Source organism: Homo sapiens, chromosome 2 (genome assembly GCF_000001405.40).
Source record: "Homo sapiens chromosome 2, GRCh38.p14 Primary Assembly".
NCBI classification, from domain to species: Eukaryota; Metazoa; Chordata; class Mammalia; order Primates; family Hominidae; genus Homo; species Homo sapiens.
Window position 1 is genome coordinate 104,635,440 of NC_000002.12, and position 23,324 is coordinate 104,658,763.

At 39.9% G+C, this 23,324-nt stretch overlaps 1 annotated feature.

Moving 5' to 3' along the window:
• Window positions 22,663–23,174: an enhancer, noted in NCBI's record as "H3K4me1 hESC enhancer chr2:105274560-105275071 (GRCh37/hg19 assembly coordinates)". NCBI's record gives its function as "activates a minimal SCP1, AML or CMV promoter by ChIP-STARR-seq in primed H9 embryonic stem cells {active_cell/tissue: H9 hESC(primed)}" and the evidence as "EXISTENCE:reporter gene assay evidence [ECO:0000049][PMID:30033119]".

Below are 23,324 nucleotides of genomic sequence, written 5' to 3' on the forward strand. Positions count from 1 at the left end.
CATTTGCCTACCGAGCTACTGAGTTGATGCCTGTCACAGGAAGGCTTTAATTTTATTTGATTCATAATCTCAGAGAGTCACCTCTAACTCACACACGGTTTCCGAGAATGACTGTAAAGATCTAGTTCTCAAATGGACATATATAAATAACAGGTAGGAGCCCTCACCCTAATGCTTGCATGGAGGAAATAAAATGACACTTTTCCAGAAGCAAAAGGAAGAAACTTCTCCTACTTCACCCCCTTTAAGTGCCCTTGGCCACACCCAACAGTTCCCCGGCAAAGAACTTTGCTTTACTTGCAGCTTCTATGTTGAACCGGCCACGCCTCTGAGGGAGTGTTTGGTCACCTTCCATGATGTCTCTAGTAGTCCAGCCCTTGCTGTTGATGGCCCCTGGACCCTGCTGAGATGGCATATGCCTCTGTGGAAGAACAAGTGGAACACCCATGCATAAATACGGAAAGAGGAAAACACCACCATCCTGCCCCACCTACCATCCCCAGCCTGCTTTTGTTATCTACATATTCTGTGTCAGATGAAGCCGTGTCCAATTCATTTGGGTTTTTTTTTGTTTGTTTGTTGGTTGGGTGGTTTTTTTTTTTTTTTTTTTTTTTTTTTGAGATGGAGTCCTTCTCTGTTGCCCAGGCTGGAGTGCAGTGGTGCGACCTCGGCTCACTGCAACCTCTGCCTCCTGGGTTCAAGTGATTTTCCTGCCTTAGCCTCCTGAATAGCTGGGACTACAGGTGCCCACCACCACGACTGGCTAATTTTTGTGTGTTTTTTTTTTTTTTTAGTAGAGATGGGGTTTCGCCATTTTGGCCAGGCTGGTCTCAAACTCCTGACCTCAAGTGATCCGCCCACCTTAGCCTCCCAAAGTACTGGGATTACAGGCATGAGCCACCACACTGGGCTCAATTTATTGTTTTTAATTTGCTTCTACTATATCTCCCTGGGTCCTTCTTATCACTTTGTTATTCACCAAGGTATTCACCAAGGTCTGGCTACCAAAATTACTACCAGTTAACTGCTCCTAGCATGGGTAGAAATCTCCTATTGGTGGCGGGAGCAAAGAAAGTCATTACCTGAAAAAGCATTATTTTCTGGCACCTCTAGTGTTGCTGCTATATAGATTTCTAAATGCCACATCATAACTATGCACTATTTTAATACAAATATTAAAACGTGATAAACATTTCTCCTCAAAGACAATTCCTCAATTGCCATATTTTATGATACAAAGAGGAGGCATCCTTTGGAAGTGCCCTCATGTTTCGTCAAGTTTATCTGAAGAAAAATATCGGCACAAAAAAGCAAGATCAATGTTAATGCTTACTTCGCACCCCCAAATTTCATGCTGTAATTATCTATTTTTTAAAGAATGGCTGTACTTTTACATTCTCTCCCTGGGGACAACTTCAAGTAGCTTATTGTGTTAAGAGGCCAGGAAGTTGTCTTTCACTCTTTCAACTTCTGAACTTAAAGCCAGATCCAGACACTTGAGGAGAGGCCTCCGAGGCAAGAGGCACCAAGGATTTTAGGAACGCATGTCAAGTCTCCTGGGCTTTCCTTCGCTGTGAGATATTAATACTTCGTAGAGTTTTGACAATGGTTGTTTGGCCACAAAGGTATTTAACTGGAGTTAGCCACTGCCCTTTCCGCCAGAAGTTTTTGAAAAGGAAGACTGCAGAGAGTGGGTTCATCAGAGCCTCCACTCATCCTTGTGGAAGAACTCTCTCCCTAAGGAGTTTGGTCTGTGCCTTTGAGCATTCCAAAGCCTGCAACTTCCCATGGCTACATATGGCCCATTGACAGTTAGCAGCTGTCAGGTGAACAGGCCGCGCACACCCAGCTGGTCAATTGAAGCCATGTTTAGACAAAATGAATGGACACAGCCCATCAGTTCCATTTGGCCATCAAAGCAATTGATGCAGATCAGCTGGGCTCATTGCAACTACAGAGATGAGCGAGGGAGCCTGGAGCTCATCAAAGTGAAGCAGACAGCCACACCACAGTCCTGGCTGCAGGGCAGTCTCCACACACCTGTGCTGAGAAAGGGGAAGACCTGCTCCACAACTGTTGTTGTTCATCTTCCTTTTAGTCAGGGACTCATTGTGACCTCAAGTCCCCACCACCAAAGTCTCTCTCAAGAAGCATTTCCTAAAATGTCATTGCTGAGCATCTGGTCCAGCAGAGGAAACCAACTCGAGACTCCAGAGAGATTTCAAGAGACCTTGAGTCTCTTTCCTTACCAAATGCAGGCTGTAGTGGAAAAGGAGTATTTACCCTATTTGCTCCATCACATGTTAAATATTGAAGAAAAAAACTTGTAAAACATAATACAGTCACACATGTAGAACAATCAAGGTGCCCATTCCCTCTAAAACAACCAAGGTGTCCATTCCCTCTACTGCCTAAAATTTACAAGATTTAAAAAAAAACAAATCTCTTTTGAAGAGTTAAAAACAGCACATAATCTGCCTGCAGACATAAAATATTTTTCTATAAACTTATTAGCTCTTCTAGAGACAGGCTGGCCTTCATGATGAATAAAGAAAACTAGTTATCAAAATAGTTTCAGCATGTTTCAAAAGAGGAAAAAGACAGACGACACTTCAAAATCTGTTTGAGAAAACAAAAGTTGTATGGCATCCAACAACTCCAGGGCTGATGCGATGAGCTCCAAGCTTCTCACCAAACATGTGGGCCCCTGCAGAAATATGCCAAAACAACACAGTTTGGGCTCATTGTATCCTAATTAATACTATAATGAGTTTCCTTAGATAGCCAAATTCTTAATCAGTCCTATCAAAACTATGTCTGCCCAGAAAAAGATTCATGTTAATTCTGCTTAATGCCTAACAGTGGTTAAGCACCATTAATACTCCATAATTTCATTGTATGTTATTGTAATCATATCAGCGTATATCTCAGTGGCTACGCAAAGCTCAATAGGCTGCCTTGAATTATCAGTCACGTGACTCTGCTTCACTAAGAGACTATCTTCCATCACAGCCAGACCTCCTTTGCCCTCCCCGCAGTCAGTAGCCTAAGCAGGTATTAATAAAGGTCTCCTTTTTTAAATTGCACAGCTCTAAATGGTCTTTAAGGGACCCAGCAGTAATCTCAAGATCCCTATATTTTAGCAGGAAGGCAGGACAGAGGAATTAATAAGAGCCCTTTCTGTGTAAACTGCTCCCTGCTCTAAGGCTATACCGTGATGTCAGGGCGCTAAGAGAATTTTAAATGCACAGGATGGATTGTTTGTGTTGCAAAAGCGAAACAGGGGGCAAAGGCTAAGAGACTTGAGAAAATTGAAAGACTGCCAGGATGCTGGGATGCAAATAGCAACAAAACAGGGATAAATGCTCCTGCTCACATATGCAGGAGTCCTGCAGAAGGGGAAAAAAAAAGGTTATTAATTTTCACCAGGCTGTATCTTACAGCTGGTGGCTCAGCATCAGTTTTTGGTGTAATGAAAATGGTCTGAGCAGAAGATAAATGGTTCATAAAGTGGACCATTTAGATGCAATCGAGGCTCAATCTGCCCAGTGACTAATCACGTCCCCCCAGTAAAGCTGAATTCCACTAACAGACTTTTTTTTTTTTTCCGGCTGTACCAGTGAATTGTAGCCGGGTCTAAGTTCAAGGCAGGCAGAGAATTATCTTGATTTATTAGTGCACTCCCTAGCTGTGCCACTCGCTCGGCTGTGCCTTTGTGGGCTTCTGCCCTGTTGCTGTCGGAGTGTAATTTTTACTGTTCCCCCGTGACTAGTACACAGCATCATTTTCAGCTGCTAGAAAAATGGGCTGCTTTTCCACCTGTAATTTTTCTTCTTTTGCTGCTGAAGGTATATAATATATCTCTAAAGTGCGTAATAAGTTTCTGAAAAACGTGTTTTTAAAAGAAATTGATTCCAGTAGTTTGTAAGCCTGAGCAAGGCCACATAAGGAAATGCACCAGATTGCAAAGGTATGCATGCTTGGCGAGGCAGCCATTTTTTCCCTTCCATTTAGTGAATTCCGACTTCTAGTCCAGAGTGTAATTTCAGACATTTTTCTATACAGTAGTGCTTCTCATAATGAACTCTGATCAAATAAAAATGTTGTTTATATTGAGACTTTACAAGTCCTGATTATGTATAAAATAGAGTAGAATCCCTCATAATGACATTTAATTGTGAGAAAGAAAAGATTCCAATAGAAGAGCATTCAGCTGCATTTGTTCCATGTTCCTTTGCATAATGCCGTTTATAGATCGTTCAATTATGACATTATTATGAGCTGCATAAGAGTAACTCACTGGTTCCCCATATTTTTAGACCTATGGAAAATAAACTTGGGTGCGATTTTCGCTATTTTGACTGCGACTTAGTCACAAAAGGCCCTTCATTTTTAGAAGAACTGACTGCACCCATTTGGCTAACGAACTCTGATGCTTCACCTTTGATCTTGCAAGCATCTTCAGAGAAGAACTCACACTGTTGAGGACACTCGGAAAAGTCAAGTCTCCTCCTCTTTGATACTCCAAAGATTCTAACTAAACATTATTAATAACCCAACCAATGGCAGGGGGAGGGTTCTGAGCGGGCTTATTCTGAGACTTCCAAGGTTATTTTTCTGTTTTCTGAAGGACCTGACAGATACGATAGGTAAATTATCAGGCAATAAGCAGGGGGGAATGCTGCCTAAAACCTCAGTGATCATACATCTTCAATAAAAGGAGCCCAAGTTCTCAGATACTGCCTCTGTGGTTTCATTCTTTCAATAACATCAGTTTTCTGAAGGTGGCAGAAAGTGTAATTCATTACTTTCCAAGCAGCCTCTCAGAACTGCAGGTCTATTTAGCAGTCTAGGCGCTCACCTGCCTTCTTCCCTTTTCCATGGAGCTTTGACCAGTTCAGCCAGGAACTGGCTTTTGCAGCACAACAAATGGGCTTAGATGATGCTGACCACACCCACAGCTCTGGCAGCAAAAAAACGTAGCGAAGCATTACAGTCCTCATTTGCAGCCACATGTATTAACAGGACACGTTTTGTAACAACACAAGCAGAACAACCAATGATTTCTGTCATTCATGTAACAAACACCCATTGCATGCTTAGTATATGTCAAATACTATGATGGGTTTGCAGAACACACAGATGAATGAGGCAAAGCTCCTTCCCTTAAGAACTTGCAATCCTGAATGGCTAATGACTAAATGAATGAATGGATGCATGCCTCTGGCCTGCACAATGCTCAATGTATTAGAAAAATACAGTGAAAGGTCAAGAAGCCTCTGTTTCTAGTCAGAATCACCTAGGATGGGTGTGGCTTTGGGGAAGTCACTTAATTTCTCTATACCTTGCTCCCATAACTCTAAAATGAGGATAAGGATCTTTGCTCCATTCATCACTCAAGATTGCTCCGGGAACTAATGACATGGCATTTGTGCAATTGCTTTGATGCACCATGGGAAGATAGGGAATTATTATTATTGCCTGGAAGGTAAGAGGTTGTCATAGAGTTGTGGACATGCCCTGTCCAAGGACACCTGAAATACAGCCCACTCTGGGCTCATCAAACCCTGTGATTGGGCATGGGCCTGGGACGTCACTGGAGAAAGGAGCATGTTTTCCTAATTTGCGCAAAGGCACCAAATGGGCTAGTAACAGTGTGTGCAAATGTGCAAAGTATGTCAAAGCAATTCTTGGAGCCATTCCATCACTGAGCATTTCCGTAAGCTGTAAGTGCTCGGGCCTCCACTTGCTCCTATTACTATCTACACTGGGCTCTGACATCAAGCTATAATATCTTGGAAAACTACACCTTGGGTAAACGACATGATTCTTTTTTATTTAGCCCATGCAAATGTAGCCTGAATTTTTAATTCACAAGAATATAAATGTCCTTGGAATGAGAAGGTTTTCGTAAGTGCAAGCATGGTTTGTACAGTGGGTGGATAAAATTTCTTAGAAATATTCCTTGATTGAATCACACTGCTGAGAGTTAAATCAGTTTGTTGTGCCCTCAACACAGGATGCAATAAACTTGGAGCCAGAATGATCTTTGCTGCTTCTAAGCCTCCCCCAGCAATCCAAACTCACAACCCTGCCGCATCATTAACTCTGCCCCAGGCCGCCTCATAGTTGTTATAGTGCGGATAAATGCTGAAATTACATATTTTGTTTTGTTTACATTTTTGTTTTTTCTTTTCCCATTTAGGGAAATCCAGCAAATCTTGAACCTGCTGCCTCACCTGTCAAATAAAGATACTGAGACCCAGCAGGACCACCAGAAGATGGGAAAGGTAAAGAATCAGATACAGGCTAAGATGAGCACTTGACAGTACCAGGCAAAGGGCCCCAAGAACGCCTGAATCCTGCCCAAAACATAGGAAGTCTTACACACAGATCCCTGTGGGGCAGATAAACCTCAATGACAATGGCAAATAAAATGAAAGTAACTGCCCCCACCATGAGTCTGGAACAGTGGCAAGGCCCCAAAACCATCTGTTGGTTTAGACTTCCTCCAAGTAAAGCAGTGGATAAAAGAGATAAGAGTGTCTGGGCACAACCAAGAGAAGAGAAGGCAGAGTTTCCTGCTTGACATCACACCAGCCACAAGAGATGGAGACAGGGCCAGGGGTTGCGTGTGATGGAGTGGCTATGGGGCTGTTGGAGGGAGAGGTAGACCAGCAGTCTGATTACCCCTTCTGCAGCCAGCAGGAAAGGATGAATAGAGTACCAGAGGGAAGCAAACCTAGGAGCCTAATTTGAACTTACAGTAGCTTTACCCATTCGAAAAATAGCATTCTGCAGTAAAACCAACAAATAACAACTCCTCAGAGGTGGTAAGTTGGGGGCTGGGAGACTAGATGCAGAAGTGGGTCTGGAGCACCTGACACCTACTAGGTACTCAGGATCCAACAGTGACTATGACCGTAATGATCTTTGTGTGTGTGTGTGTGTGTGTGTGTGTGTGTGTGTCTGTGTGTGTGTGTTTCTTTTTTAAGACTAAGTATTGCTCTGTCACCCAGGCTGGAGTGCAGTGGCACAATCTCAGCTCACTCCAACCTCTGCCCCCCAGGTTCAAGCGATTCTCCCACCTCAGCCTCCCAAGTAGCTGGGACTACAGGCGCGCACCACCACGCCTGGCTAATTTTTTGTATTTTTAGTAGAGATGGGGTTTCACCATGTTAGCCAGGCTGATCTTGAACTCCTAACCTCAAGTGATCCACCTGCCTCAGCCTCCCAAAGTGCTGGGATTACAGGCGTGAGCCACCACACCCAGCCCACGATGATCTTATAATAGAAGGTTTTCCAAAGAAAATGGGCTACAAAGAATTCATCCCTTCTGAGTGACTAAATGAGGGTGACCCTCAGGACTGCAACACAGGGATATGTAGGTGGTGGTCCTCGGTGAAGCTGCCCCACCTCACTCCACGGTTGTCTCACATTGGGGAGTTTTTGATTTTTTGAATAAATTTTGTATGCCCTGAAAGGATTGGCAATAATGAAAGATAGAGTTACATGACCTCATAACTTCTATTATTTTTTAAAGTATGTGCAAAACAGAGAGTGGCCCAGGGGCTCTTGGCTGCCATTTGTGTTGAAAGACAAGTCCTTATTGTTTCCACCATCTAAGTCTTAGGATGCTGAATGGCTTACTAGTTCTATGTTTGCAAGTAAAATTAACACTTCTCTCTAGAAGTTATTGGCTTGTCTCTAATAACACGTGGATTAATGTAGTATCTATTTGTCTCTATGCTAAGATAATCATGACAACCAGGTAAAATATTTATCAATAGAAACTTGAATCCAAATACACTAAAAAATTCACTGAGTAAATTTTACAAGCCAGTCGAAACTAGGTGTAAGACCTCCGCCAATGGTGACAGCATCCTACATGATAAATATTGGAGACTAGGTTGCTACGTTGGATCTGAAGACAAAAATAGAGAGAAAGAATTCACATGGACAGAGACAGCACTGCCAGGGCCCGACACATTCATAGGTTCTGTACGTTTCTGTGAACCTCTTTATATATACTGATGTGACAATATATTTGTCCTGTCAGTAGGGGTGTGTGTGTGCGAGAGGGACAGAGAGAGAAGGAAGAGAAGAGTATGTGTTATTCATGCAAAGACACGAGTATGCTAATTGGCTAATTATTTATTGATTAGACAACGAAAGATGATGTTTAAAGCGCAATTGGCCACATATTATTGACTTTTTTCCTCTACTTAGGAAAACTGTTCTCTAAGTGGAAAATTACATTAACAGTAATAATAAAAATAATAAGCATCATTCCAAAAGCTGACATCTTAATTTTATCTTTACATAATGTCATGTTCTATTACAGTCAAATTTCTTAAAAATGGGTCCATACATAGTTTCAAATTTTTATCCAGCTTGGCAAATGGTACAGTTTAGCCAAAGCCTAAAGGGCTCCATTCTCTCCTTACCCAGAATCAAGATGGACCATAAGAACTGATGGATTGACCAGGCAGGAACTTACAACACCCTCTAGTTTTCACGTTCTGTTTTCCTTTGTGCTTTCTACCAGAGCCTGGCTGAGACTTCTAAAGGTGAAGGGCAGCATATGGAAGCTCCAGGGGATTTAAATCAGAGGTGCTGCCTTAGCAGTTGACAATATTCAAAACTACTTCTCAGACTATGCTTTACCCCAGGACAAAGTTGGTGGGCAAGGGAAGAGCCTGGGCAGAATCCTACTTGCCAGCCACACTTAAACTTTCTTCTGCCTTTTCGAATCACGTGCTTGGCAAGAGGGTCCTTTGGTTAGGTTCAGAAACCAAGGTGGGTGCTCAGTCCCCATTTGTCCTTGTTCGGAATGTAGCTTTTCCTGCTAGGCAGCAAAAGAAGGCAGGCATTGATCCGACACCTCACCTTTCTACTGAGATTTCCAAAGCACTGGCATGACCCATACCCTGCATGTGATTGTCAACCACAGATATAAGAGCAGCTGAGGATGGAAAAAAATCATTATATCCATGATCTGTGTTTACATCTCCAAAATCAAACACCCGCATAGTGCAGCCATTGAAAACAGCCTGGAAAAAGAAAGGACATGGGGTCACATGATATTTTAACAGCATCAAGATCCAGGCCTTGGGTATAGCTTCTGAGGGTGAGAGGGTGCATTCTTTACTCACTAAGTACCCAGCTAGGGACCTAAAGTCTACAGGCTTCGGCAGGAATTTCAGTCTAGCCAAGCCATTCAAATGATGTGTAGAAAGAGCATCAGTGAAAGAAGTAAACATTCTGGCATCTCTGAGTTTTAGTCAATATTTTTATGGACCTGATTGCTATAACCTCATAATGAAGTGTCACCATGGGGCTCAAGATACCTAAGCAGCTGCAAATACCAATTCCTAAAAAGTTTACAACCACAAAGAAAAGAAGCCTTCCTTGTGTTAGCACTTGATTCTTCACAGGGAGAATTTATCAAACATTGACCTGATGTTTGAGCAACCGATGGTACCTGCTGCTCTCAAAAGAATATTTTAATACTTAAGTGTTAGACCTGAAACCATAAAAACCCTAGAAGAAAACCTAGGCAATAACATTCAGGACATAGGCATGGGCAAGGACTTCATGTCTAAAACACCAAAAGCAATGGCAACAAAAGCCAAAATTGACAAATGGGATCTAATTAAACTAAAGAGCTTCTGCACAGCAAAAGAAAAAATCATCAGAGTGAACAGGCAACCTACAGAATGGGAGCAAATTTTTTCAGTCTACTCATCTGACAAAGGGCTAATATCCAGAATCTACAATGAACTCAAATAAATTTACAAGAAAAAATCAAACAACTTCATCAAAAAGTGGGCAAAGGATATGAACAGACACTTCTCAAAAGAAGACATTTATGCAGCCAAAAGGCACATGAAAAAATGCTCATCATCACTGGCCATCAGAGAAATGCAAATCAAAACCACAATGAGATACCATCTCACACCAGTTAGAATGGTGATCATTAAAAAGTCAGGAAACAACAGGTGCTGGAGAGGATGTGGAGAAGTAGGAACACTTTTACACTGTTGGTGGGACTGTAAACTAGTTCAACCATTGTGGAAGTCAGTGTGGCGATTCCTCAGGGATCTAGAACTAGAAATACCATTTGACCCAGCCATCCCATTACTGGGTATATACCCAAAGGATTATAAAACATGCTGCTATAAAGACACATGCACAAGTATGTTTATTGAGGCACTATTCACAATAACAAAGACTTGGAACCAACCCAAATGTCCATCAATGATAGACTGGATTAAGAAAATGTGGCACATATACACCATGGAATACTATGCAGCCACAAAAAATGATGAGTTCATGTCCTTTGTAGGGACATGGATGAAGCTGGAAGCCATCATTCTCAGCAAACTGTCTCAAGGACAAAAAACCAAACACCACATGTTCTCAGTCATAGGTGAGAATTGAACAATGAGAACACATGGACACAGGAAGGGGAACATCACACACTGTGGCCTGTTGTGGGGTTGGGGGATGGGGGAAGGATAGCATTAGGAGATATACCTAAGGTTAAATGATGAGTTAATGGGTGCAGCACACCAACATGGCACATGTATACGTATGTAACAAACCTGCACGTTGTGCACATGAACCCTAAAGCTTAAAGTATAATAAAAAATTTTAAAAAAAAGAATATTTTACATAAGCAGGGTCAAAGAGTCAAAATAGGATCTGCCTATGTAGCCTCAAGTTTCTTTTTATGGACAAGGAGTAAAGGCTCAACTGCTTTAAAGTATTGAAGCAGAAGTCTTCAATTTCCAGCTCAGTGATGGTTGCTTGGGAAAAGCAATGCACGTTTTAGGTTTAAAATCACTGTTCAAACAACTGATCCTTCCCTTCAGCCCACAGATCTTTGTTGAGCATATACCATGTGCCTGCTACTGTTCTGGGTGCTAAAGATAATGTCAGTAAACAAAACAGACAAAAATCTCTGCCTTCATGGAGCAAAAAATGTCTGTGTATTGATTTGATAAAAACATCCCCACCCTCAAATATCCCCACAAAGAGTGTTACCAAGACAACCGAATTTTGTTTTTGCGGAGTATTAATTTCTAAGCTTCACTTACAATCAAAGACACTTTAATACATACACTTTGATGAGGCAATAAAAATGGGAGCAGTGGCATAGAACACTAAAGTCAACTGTTTCTGCAGGGTTGAAATTGTTGATGCAGTGAACTAGTAAAAATCCCAGTGTTATGTTTGTAGTTGTATTCAGCCAATCCTACCCTGGACCAATTCTAGGAATGAAGTGTACAGGTCAGAGTTCAAAACCCTTCAGTCAGTCCTCACATGGGTCACAGTCCTGAAGGAGAAGTCTGTCCCCTTGGGAATTCGACCTGAGCCCACCAACTCACCCCACAGTCCACACCCATGCAAGGGTGAAAAGTGTCTCTTGGGGGCTTTGCAGGTTCTGGTTGGATGTCAGCCAGTCATTCAGAGTAAAAGTTGTCCAGCTCTGACAACCCACAGCCATCCAACTCCCTGCAAGGTAAATGGCTTGCCTGTGCTTGCCCCGTTCCTTTCTTCCTCCTTCATTTTTCATTTGTCTTTATCAGCGGACGTCTGGAAAACCTAATTGCTGTTATTTCCATCTTGAACAGGCTAATAGGTATCAGAGAGTCAGAGAAGGAAAGGCTTTTTTTTCTTCTGAATTTATAATAATAATAATAATAATAACAACAACAATACGATAAAAGCCCATATTGGTAAGGGAAATATAACTCAGTCTTTCACCTTAACAAAATTTGCTTTCATTTAAACAGAATATGCAGCCCAGCTCCTTGACTACTTTGGTGCATTGCATTCACCAGCGCACCAGCGTAAATAAACCTACCGCGTTAGAGCTGGGAAGGCTGCTATTTTAAAGATGAAAAAATTTCAGCTTCTGGATGGCTGCTTTCATTTAACACAGCTTCAAATGAATTTATGAACTGTTCTATAATGTTTTCTGCATACACCAAATGGCAGACTTTAGGCAGAAACCCAATATATGTTTAGTTAGTATATAATAAACATAATATTTACATGGGCTATGCACTGTGTGAAGAATCAAGAGCAGTTGCTCTATAAACTGTTATTGAATTCTCTAACATACAGCCCTCAACCAAGGGGTCCATCAAGATTCTAGAAGAATTCTTGAGAAGAGGCCCTGACCTCCTCCCAGTGCACACACGCACATGTGTGTTTGTTGGCACATATACGTGGGTGTACAAACCTATGCCTCTTTCATTTAAAAATATCTCTTTAATCAAAATCTTGACAACAATCTCATTTTCCTCAGCCGCTAGGATGACAATGTAGTTTTAGATATTGTTTTTAACTTTAAAGGTGTCTCGGTGGTTTTGAAAAATGTTCCAGGAGCTAAAAAAAATTGTTTTAAAAAAATTAAATCCCAGTAGATAGAGAAGCCAGTTCATTTCTTAGGCAATAAACAGAAAGCCGGGGTGGGGGGTGCTGAACAAGCATGCTCATACGGAATTTTTCTCTTGAAAAGCCCACTAGTTAGGCATTATAACAGTTCAGTTGATATTTCTACAGTGCAAACACGATAGTGGAAATTAAGTTGCCCCAGAAAATTCAGTTTAGTGGAAATTTGTTATGAATAAAATGCTGCTATTGGCCCTAGAACATTGAATTTATCCACCAAATAATATCTCAGAAATACCACTTCAGAAGAAATCAGCTCTAAATAATTGATAAATTTGGTTTGTTTGGAAACCTTTTGACCTCTGTAATAGAAAGTAAAAACACATTTCAGTTATTAAAGTCACATATATTCCCTCTGGTGGGGGAGCTTTTAATTTTAAGCTGGACTCTGTAGGGGCCATTTGATAAAGCTTAGAGAAATTTTTCAACTGCTGCTGCTGGATTTGGGTCAGCCTCCTTTGGGAAAATGGCAAAAGATAAATCTGTAGTTTTTCATAACGTACTGGAAAACTTCAGAGGTTTTAAACATTAAGACCTATTGGAAGCAAAAGGATTTTTTTGGTAGCCCCTTTTCTTGACTACCTTCCCCCATCCAAAGTCTCTCTCTCTCTTTCTTCATTTTGTTTTGAAAGAAGTTTAAATGTTCACGCTGTTAAAATAAAGGAACAGTGAATCAGCATATCCTATTAATGTAAGACATTTCATTTTAGATAAGAGCTGTGTCTTTTATCTGCTGTATTTAGTGCAATTCTTCTGAAGTTTCATAGAGAAAAGAGCAAGATACTATTTAAAGTGTTTGCTTTTTTGAATTTGTTTTCAAATACACTTATTAAATAATTTTATTGGCCAAATCTATTTTATAATAAAAGCATTGCATAGTGAATGTTCCCCAGCACGCCTTTCTAAGTTAAAAAAAATGTACAAGCAATACAAAGGATTTACATTTTGTAACATTATTATCAAAATCATTAAGACATACTTAAAAACACAGCTCTCTACGATATTTTTATGATGAAACTCTGGGAAAAATTCATCTCTATTGTTATATTTACCTAAGATAATGTGTTCAAATAATATAGCTCAGGTAAGAGGATTTTTATGAGCACGTTATAAATACTGTGTCTTAAGAGCATACATTGAAATGATGTCTCTACTATCCGTGTGTGTGTGTGTGTGTGTGTGTGTGTGTGTGTGTATCTAGCATAGCCTCACTTGCATTTGGGCATTACTTTATTGCACTGTAGGCTTGTGAAGGTAAAGGGTTATATATGATCTTTATCGTGTTTCCTAGGAAGCCAATTCACCCTTTGTGCCCAATAGATGATTAAAAGTATTCATTGTTAGAAAACGTTACCCTGACTCAAACATCAGACATGACTAGTGATGCTTATAAAGCCCCTCCCAAGTAAACCATTTCCTAATTATGGGAAAGTAAATTTCCCATAATTCTTGATCCTACTTTTCAACGTTCTCCTACTAGGAACCCCACACTCCAGATTTCTTTGTTTCCATGAGTTCCACCCCCATGACACCCCATCCACTCCCTCTGCCTCCTCTCAGTCACATCACAGGCCTGTGTGCTCCCTTCTGAGTAGCCTTCTTTCCTTCCACATGTACTGGGCACTATGGCCAATCACAGGGGCTGGATTCTCAGGGCTTTTGGATAAAGACATAGATGTGGAGTTCCCAAAAGATGGGGAAAGAGTTCTTATCTTGAAGTGGTGAAACACAAGTGGCAGTTGATAATGACCTAGCCCTTCAGCTTGATTTGGAAGCCACCTGACTCAAGAGTATTGGGAGGTTGGTATAGAATTGATGCAAAAAAAAAGTATGTATAAAATATCATGTGTATAAATAAGAGAAGTAACTTCTCTGTTTCTCAACTGAGTGTGAAAGTGGAGGGTTTGAGAGGGAGGAAGAGAAATCGCTGAAAAAAAAAAAAGTGAGTGCATATCTCAGTGTCTGAAGAAAGGAGAGTTCACCAAGCACCAGGTAATGCAATTGTCCTTAATAATAAATATCCTCATTTCCCTAGATTTCAAAAAGCTGCTCAGAGAAGCTCTGAAATGAAACAAGACCATGCTAATCTAGTGTGTTAGTAACTTCAAGGCAATGGAAAGTCCTGCCTATGGGCTCTTTTCTCCATGCACGGGCACATATGACATCATGCTTGCATGACTACATCTTACTCTCTTGCAAAAGGAAAGAATCAGGGCTAGTCTTCACCATTTGGGATTTGTGCTTCCTCAACATTTATTTAGATTTTTATCTTTAGGAAGCAATTGGTTGAAAACAAATGATGTGTTCCCTGATTCACACAGAAAAGAGGATTCTGAAGGACTAGGACCTATACAGATGAGGATGGCTGTTACTTAAAAAAAAAAAAAAGAAAGAAAGAAAGGAAAAAAGGAAATAAGGAAGAGAAGGGAAGGGGAGGGGAAGGAAGAGGAGGGACAGGAGGGGAGGCGAGGGAAGGGCAGGGGAGGAGGGAATGAGGATAGAGGGGGAGAGAGACAGAGAGAGACAGAGAGAGAGAGAAATAAGAAAGAAAGAGAGAAGGAAGGAAGGAAGGAAAGAAAGAGAAAGAAGGAAAGAAAGAGAAAGAAGAAAGAGAGAAAGAAAGAAAGAAAAAAGAAAGAGAATGAAGGAAAGAAAGAGAAAGAAGAAAGAGAGAGAAAGAGAAAGAAAGAGAAAGAAGGAAAGAAAGAGAAAGAAGGAAAGAAAGAGAAAGAAGGAAAGAAAGAGAAGAAAGAGAGAGAAAGAAAGAGAAAGAAGGAAAGAAAGAGAAGAAAGAGAGGGAAAGAAAGAGAAAGAAGAAAGAAAGAGAGAGAGAAAGAGAAAGAAAGAAAGAAAAAGAAAGAAAGATGTGAGACTGTAGAAAAATCAGAACCCTTTTCATTGCTGATGTGAATGTAAAATGGTACAGCTAATGTGGAAAACAGTATGGCAGCCTCAAAAAATTCACCATAGAACTACCATATGATCCAACCATCCCACTTCTGGTACATACTCCAGAAATTGAAAGCAGGACCTCAAAAAGATATTTACACACCCATGTTCATAGCAACATTATTTGCAATAACCAAAAGGTGGAAGCAACCCACATGTCGACAGCTGAATGGATAAACAAAACGTGGGCTATACATACAATCAAATGTTATCCGTAAAAAGGAAGATTCTGACACAGGCTACAACATGGATAAATCTTTGAGACATTATTCTAAGTGAAATAAGACAGTCACAAAAAGAGAAATACCATATGATTCCACTTATATGAAGTTCCTAGAGTAGTCAGATTCGTAGAGACAGAAAATAGAACAGGGGTTGCGAAGGGAGGGAGGGAAGGAGGAAGGAATGGGGAGTTAGTATTTAACAGGTAGAGTTTGGTTTGGAAAGATGAAATAGTTCTAGAGATAGATGATGGCGATGGTTGCCCAACAATTTGAATGTACAATGTGAATGCCACTGAACTGTGAACTTAAAAATAGCTAAAAATATAAATTTTGTGTTATGTGTACATAACCACAATTTTAAAAATAAGGACCAGTACCACTACTCACTGGAATCTCCTGATAAAAAATCCATAAATCCAATATGAGCAGATCTTTCCATTCATGTCAATAAAAGTGCACCCAAAATGATAAGCCTTATTTAATACTATTGCTGCCTTATCTTCTGTTTTATATTCTCTTTTCTGTTATGTTCATCCTATTGCTTTGCCTAGACCTAGCAGTGAGAGAGGGCTTCTAGTCTTGTTCTTGACTCTGAAACGGATGTGTCTAGAAGTTCACAGGGACCGGTTTCTAATAAGCTCCCCCTTATGTCTGGGACATTTTCTTCTATTCTTAATTTCCTATGAATTCTTATTAAGCATGAATAGTTTCTTCTATTACATTCATGGATCAAATTTGTTTGTTTTTCTTTGAGGATATCAGTATTCTTTGGCTTCATATAACTTTGTTTTTCGATTACAAAGATTTTTAGGATATTCGTATGATCTCACACTTAAAATAAGCTCGAGGTTTAATAATTTGAAAGTGTTTTCAATTAATCTCAGCAGGTGGGATGTCCTCATTTACTGTGTCGTAGAATTTTAAATGAGCCATGAGCATTTTGTCACAAATATATTTTTCTTTCCTTTTTATTTTGTTCTTGTGTCTCTTTCTGGTAGGTCCCGCCTATTATAACTTTAGTTTTCCTATCATTAATTCACAAATAATTTAGAGTTCTTTCACCCAAGATCAGATCAGGCCTTCTGGAAAGGAGAGAACTGTCACTTATGACTCTATGCATTTGCTTTTAAAAGAGTTTCAAGGTGTTATTATTATAACTAGTTTGTTGCTATTTTTCAGTTTTACTCAATATCAATTATTTCAATATTAAGTGGTGTCGGTTCAAATGAAAATTAAAATATTCTTTATATGAAATACTCTTCACAATTGAGCTGGTGATGCTGTCAATAGTTAAATTTTCATTGTCATTAGAATGTTTGTCACATAAATAACTTCTTTTTTTTTTCTCCATTTCCTACTGTTAATTTTGGCAAAGACTGAAGTAAAGGTACTGTTTGAAACAACATAGCTCTCCTAAGCAAGCCAGGCTTTGAGAAGCACCATGGTGCCTAGTTACATGCCTGAAATTTGTTGCCTGGTCATTTGACCCTGAGTCCTGCTTTTATTACATCAATCACTCACTCAACTCCTTTTTTCCTCAAAAGATTTTTTTCAGTGTTCATAAACTCCTAGTTGTGAAACACGAGTGAGGGTGGAGAACTTTCATTATAGGGCATTTTGTTTAGCAGGATGAGACGTTGCATTTTTCACATTTCTCTGTCCACACATCTTTATGGTTTATTTTAAAAATGCTAAAATGGGATGAGTCTTTTACTCCCAAAAATATAATAATAGAACCTACTTCAGTCTAAAAAGATTTCATTTTGCTTATTTTAGATTACATACATTATATTTGTATGCTATTTCTATGCTACTTTAATCTGCATATACTACTTTCATAATTAAAAATAAAAAGTTATGTGACTAAATATAGCCTGTTCCTCTTCAAACCCAGATTAAATGCATGTAGATACAGGCTACATGCATGGTTTACAGGATTTACTGATTAATATAAGATCTTCTATTTTTTTTTTTTTCTTTTGAGACAGAGTTTCACTCTTGTTGCCCAGGCTGGAGTGCAATGTCGTGATCTCAGCTCACTGCAACCTCTGCCTCCCAGGTTCAAGTGACTCTCCTGCCTCAGCCTCCCAAGTAGCTGGGATTACAGGCATGTGCGACCATGCCCAGCTAATTTGGTATTTTTAGTAGAGGCGGGGTTTCTCCATGTTGGTCAGGTTGGTTTTGAACTCCCAGTCTCAGGTGATCCACCCGCCTTGGCCTCCCAAAGTGCTGGGATTACAGGCTTGAGCCACCATGCCCAGCCAACATAAGATCTTCATGACTTCACACAGTTATCTCCAGTTCTACTCTTTTAACCAAAATCTAGTCAATGTCTAACTTTCTATCGGATGTTTTACTTGAAATGTTTACAATTTCTTCCTCATACTTGCCCCAAATTGTGTACTTCTTCCCCAAACAAATCAGAAAATCCCTCCCTGCCAGTGGCACAACCATGATGCTAGTCTCCCCATCTGGGGCCATCTCATCTCCAGTACTCACGTTAGTCTATGATTAACCTTGTTTTGACTGCCCACTGAGAGTCAGGCTCTTTTTGTCTCTGAAATTTCTGAAACATTCCTTTTTCTCATTTCTGCTGTTATTCTATTTCAGGTTCTCATTATCTGTCACCTGATAACTGCAACCATTGACTTTTTTGCACTCTCCTGCCCCTGCTCCTTCTGGCCACATATATACACCCCAATAGACAGCAAGCCCACAGCTGTCTAAGCAGTATCTTGAAAAGGTCTCCTTTATTAAACCATGCTGCTGCCCAGAAATACTCGTTGGTTTACATTCTACTGCCTCAAATCTCAGCTCGTTTACTTAATCACTAGACATTTATTAAACATCTGATATACCCATTAAGAGTCTTCACAAGCTGGCTGCCTATTCTTCCACCCTGTTCCCATCACTACACAGTGCATAATATGGGTCCATCCCATGACCATGGCAGAATCATTCCTTCATTCACACCATCTCCTATGCTCTTTCTTCATCTCTAATCCTCTCCATTCTGATTTCCTTCAGACAAAATTATTTCTATCTTCGACATCAACAACTCTCCTGAAAAACATATAGTCAGTTCATCCAATTTCATATTTACTCTTTACTCTTGAGCACAATTTCTTGCCTACCAATTTATGAGCTCTTTCCAGTGAAAGTCCATATCTTCCATTCTTCTGTTACCCCTTTGGGGGTGATTAGAGTGCTTTACATGCTGAAGAAACATGTTGGTTGATTAATTACATAGCTCCCTTCCATCTGCCTACTGTATGCACTATGAAACAACCTAGAGGGCTTTATTCATAACTATATGTACTTTAGCTACTTCAAGAAAAGGGGAGACAAACAAATAAGGTTAATGGTTATTGTATAGGGACCGACTGTCTTAAGGAGAGAGAATGCAGCCAGCTAGCTCCCACGGAAAGTCATTTGGCCATATTTCTAGGAAGTTTGGCACCCTCCCAAAATAAGGTGCACTCTGGTAGACTATCATCCAGTGTGAAAACACATTTTTGAAGCTTGGAAGTAGGGTACTTCTGATTATTTGCGAATTCAAGATCAGAAGTATCTATAAATGTTTGCATTGATAGGGTGGGTGGGATTGTTGGAAATGTTCCTGTAATTAGGATCTTGGCCTCGCATCCCTTGATGATTTGCATGCGCAGACCCTGTCAATATGTTTCCAGAGAGTATAGTAAAAAAAAAAAAAAAAAAAATCTAAAAAAATACAGGAATAAAAATCAGAATTGCATTTCCTGCCTGGATTAAATGAGGAGAAACTTGAAGGGTGGGAGTTGCCCTCGCCTTTGGCCATGAGACAATTGTATCAGAGTGTTCTGTTTTGTTCTGGCTGGATAGTGTCTACTTATCAAAAGCAGGAAATTGCATTTTAACTTGGATCTGTAGGATGCTGGGGAGGGGCTGATCTGGTTAGGAGGGTGGAGCTGGGAGGAGGACAGGGGCAGAGAACAGTCAGTACTAGACCATCACAGGGCCCGCGGCCATAAGGAGATTGGCCAGAATGGAAACTGCATTTAGGGGGAAAAAAGACACGAGTTGAAGATAAGAGCAAGTTTGTCTTTTCCAGATGTGAAAAAAATTGAGGAGTTATTTCTCTGATCTGGTGGGAACATTGCTCCCACTATAGAGTTGTAGCATCCTTCCCAGCTACATAATATAAGTGCTGATTCAGTTAAAGCCCTGAAGAGGAAATAAGCGCAAAGTTTTCTGATGCCAGATTACAGGCATCATTGATATTGAGATAGGAATATCTACATGCCATGAAAGAGCCTGGGTAGGAGGAAAATGAAAGGAAAGCATATTTTGTGAGCAGTCTTTTGTTTGTGTTCAGTTTATAATGAATGTGGTGAGAGATTTGAGGACTAATTTTAGCTAATGAAAAGACAATGAGAGCTATTAGGTAATTTTAATATACAGAAATATGAAAGCAAAATCACATTTATTCACTCTTCTGTAAACAAAAGCAAATAAATACTAATTGGACATTTAGTAATTAAAATTCGATCTAACAGCATGCATAAAACTAGTTGATTCTTACCTTTTAAGTAGGTGTTCAGAAAGCACGGGATTCATCCATTTTCCAAGTAAAAGATGTGTGTGTTTTTGTGTAAGTGTGTGTGTTTCCCAAGGAAATGAAAATGGCAACAACAGGGTTTAAATATAAAAGGCTTGGCGTGTGTGCACACACACACACATGCACACGCACACACACAGAAATGTGGAATCTGTTAGAAAGACAACCAACATGAAAAAATGTGACTAAAATTATAACTGAAAGTCTACACTGGAAGTTTTTCTTCTTAGACTTTTTATTCTTTTATATTCTTGTAACTCAGGCCACATTATAATTATCATTCTGACATTATATGTTAGTGTAAATAATAAATTAAATATGCAAAAACACTACGATATTTTTCTAAATCTTGGTTGCTTTATTTCTGCTTGTTATTATAAGCCTTTCAATAAGAAAACCACCAGAGTTTTTTTTAATGTTACTGTAAATGATATTCCATCTTCTATAATAACATTAAAGAATCAAATCAGAAAATAAACCAATTCAACTAAAGGTTTATCTTCATTTGAAAAGTTTTATATTTGAGAATGGTGTACACAGACTTGGAACCAGATATTTACTAGATAGACTTTGCAGCGAATATTTAATATAAAAAATACAGACAGAGGACATTTTGAAGGCAGAATCAAAAAAGAAAGGGCAGAGAGAGAGAGAGAGAGAGAGGCCTTCCTAGGATTTAAAGTAGCTTTAGTGTCATTTTAAAAATGTTAATATTTGTAAATTTACTTAATTACAATGTTAAAGATACAGGAATCCATTTTGTATTGTAATACATATAGCAAGTAAAACCAATATTAACTTTGTGGTTATTTTAAGTGTTTTTCGTTGGAAATGCCTAGGCTTGCTTTATTTTTTTAATCTACTTAGATCCCAAACTGCTCTGGTTAAAACATAGTTAATGTACCAACTGCAATTAGCCAACTGTCATAAGGCTCAACTCCCAACCGTCGACAAGCTTCATTTAACTAATTTGAGAAGTAGAAGTTTGAATTTTTTTTTCCAGGAAGGTAGCTTGTTTCCTTATTTCCTGTCAAGAGAGCCAAGTCCTGTGACCTATGGTTAAAAGGGCTCTTTGTAATTAAGACAGGGAGTCTCCAAGTGAACAGTTCTCACAGTAGGAGGGAAAAATTAAAAAAAAAAAAGAAAAGAAAAGAAAAAGAAAAAAAAGAAGAAGAAGCATGACACTGCTTAACGAAGTAATCGGAGCGCAGCCAATGCCGGTGGGCGCCCGCCGGGCCATCTCCGCCGTCACTGGCTCGGTGTCCACTTTATGGAGCGCGGAGTCTATTAAGACCTTGGCGAGTGGTGGTGGTGCTCCCTCCGCAGTGCCTGCGCACAGACAACCAGAAACCGATCAACCGTGTTATATCAATAACATTCTCACACCAGGTTGTGTAAATTGATCTTTTACAATTTCTCTCGGTGACAGTCTCTGTAACCAACAAGATAAATCATTCCTCCTGTGTCTTTTTTATTGATTGCTGAGACCTGTATAAAAATTACACTGTTCAAGCTGTGAAGTGAACATCCTCATAAAAGAAGACTTTTTATTTACAATCAAAATATGTCTGGGCCCAGATCAAGTGCAGATAGCTCAGAACTACGTGAACAGTGAAATTTAAAGAGTCAGAGAAAACTAAAAGTTACAAAGAAACACTCCCCACCACCATAAACCAGCCATCACAAACTGTAAGACTACACACAATGTACCTCAAATTAAGATTACTATTTTCTTTTAAATAAAAAGCTTTACACATTTGATTTTAAGGTTAACAGTCAATAGAAAGCCATCTGCTAAAAACAAGAAAGGAAAACTGCCACAACCAAAATCACCTTTGCAATGGATTTTACAAACGAATACAAACTGTATCCTAGTTCTTGTTAAAATATTAAACACAAGAACCTAAAGTCCTTTTTAGCCTATCAAGAAAGCTTTGGACAAAATAATAGGACAACATGCACCCCAAAGATGAGACTTGGTCTTTTTTTTAAGAAGCTTAATTCACATTATTTTTCCATCATGAAAATATCTTTAGTTCTGTTTTAAGAATAATTTAAAATTCTGGAGTACTTAGAATTTTTCAAATGTAGTTTAAATATAGACAATTGATATCTTTCAACATATTTTATACAAATCATATATTGGAATGTAAACTTTCTTTTCAATTCTAGCTTTATATTCTATTAAAGGATTAAACACATTTTCAATTCAAAAACACTGTTTTGAGAAGAGTTTTCAAGTTAAAAGTCTGTGTATAGTATCCCTGAAACTTCTTGAAGTTTCCCTTTGGGTGCGCAATTTTGAATCACCTGCTAATAAATGTGGTCGCTTACGGCCTTAGCCCCAGAATTCACTTTTTTGAGAAAGTGCAAAGAAACGTTGAATCTTTTTGCATCATCTCATAAGAGGAGTTAATGATGTTTATAAAATAGAGAGAATTACCCTAAGTTATTGCCGCCTAAAATCACTTTCTATGCATGCCCTGTAGGCGGGTATTGTGTTTCAACTCAAATAGCATTTCACAGACCTAAGAATCTGAGCGTAGCTTTTTGTATACATCTAAGCGTCAGGACAGAGATAGTCCTTTTTGTGCCTTCCCCTTGAGCCTTTGCCCGGTTTCTCTGAAGCTGTGCTCTTTATTTGCAGTTTTAGAGAAGGCCCTTTCAACGCAACAGGCCGGTGGAGGAGGGGGAGAGAGGACTGTCTGGGCAGTGTCCTCACTTTGTTGGCCAGGAGGAAAAGTGAGAGCGTGGAAGTGTGGTGTTGAGGCTGCCTCACCTCTCTGGGAGGCATTTTCACTGGGAAAGAACAGCAGCAACAGGCACAGTGGGGCAAAGAACACGAAAGGGAAAAAGATCAGCTGGCTCCTTCTAGGAGCCAGGCTGGAGAAGAGATTGCTACACTGCGGATGGCTCCTGCTTATGAAGGCAGCCTGTGCCAGGGCTGATCGCCCTAGGCCTGCTTGACAGCCCCGCCCGCTTCCTTCCTGCCTTCTCCACGTGGCCGCAGCCCTGGCTCCTGGGAGTGCACAGTTCAGCCCCGCTTGCATCAGGGCGCTTCTTGCCCCTATGCACAGAGCGCTCCTGTG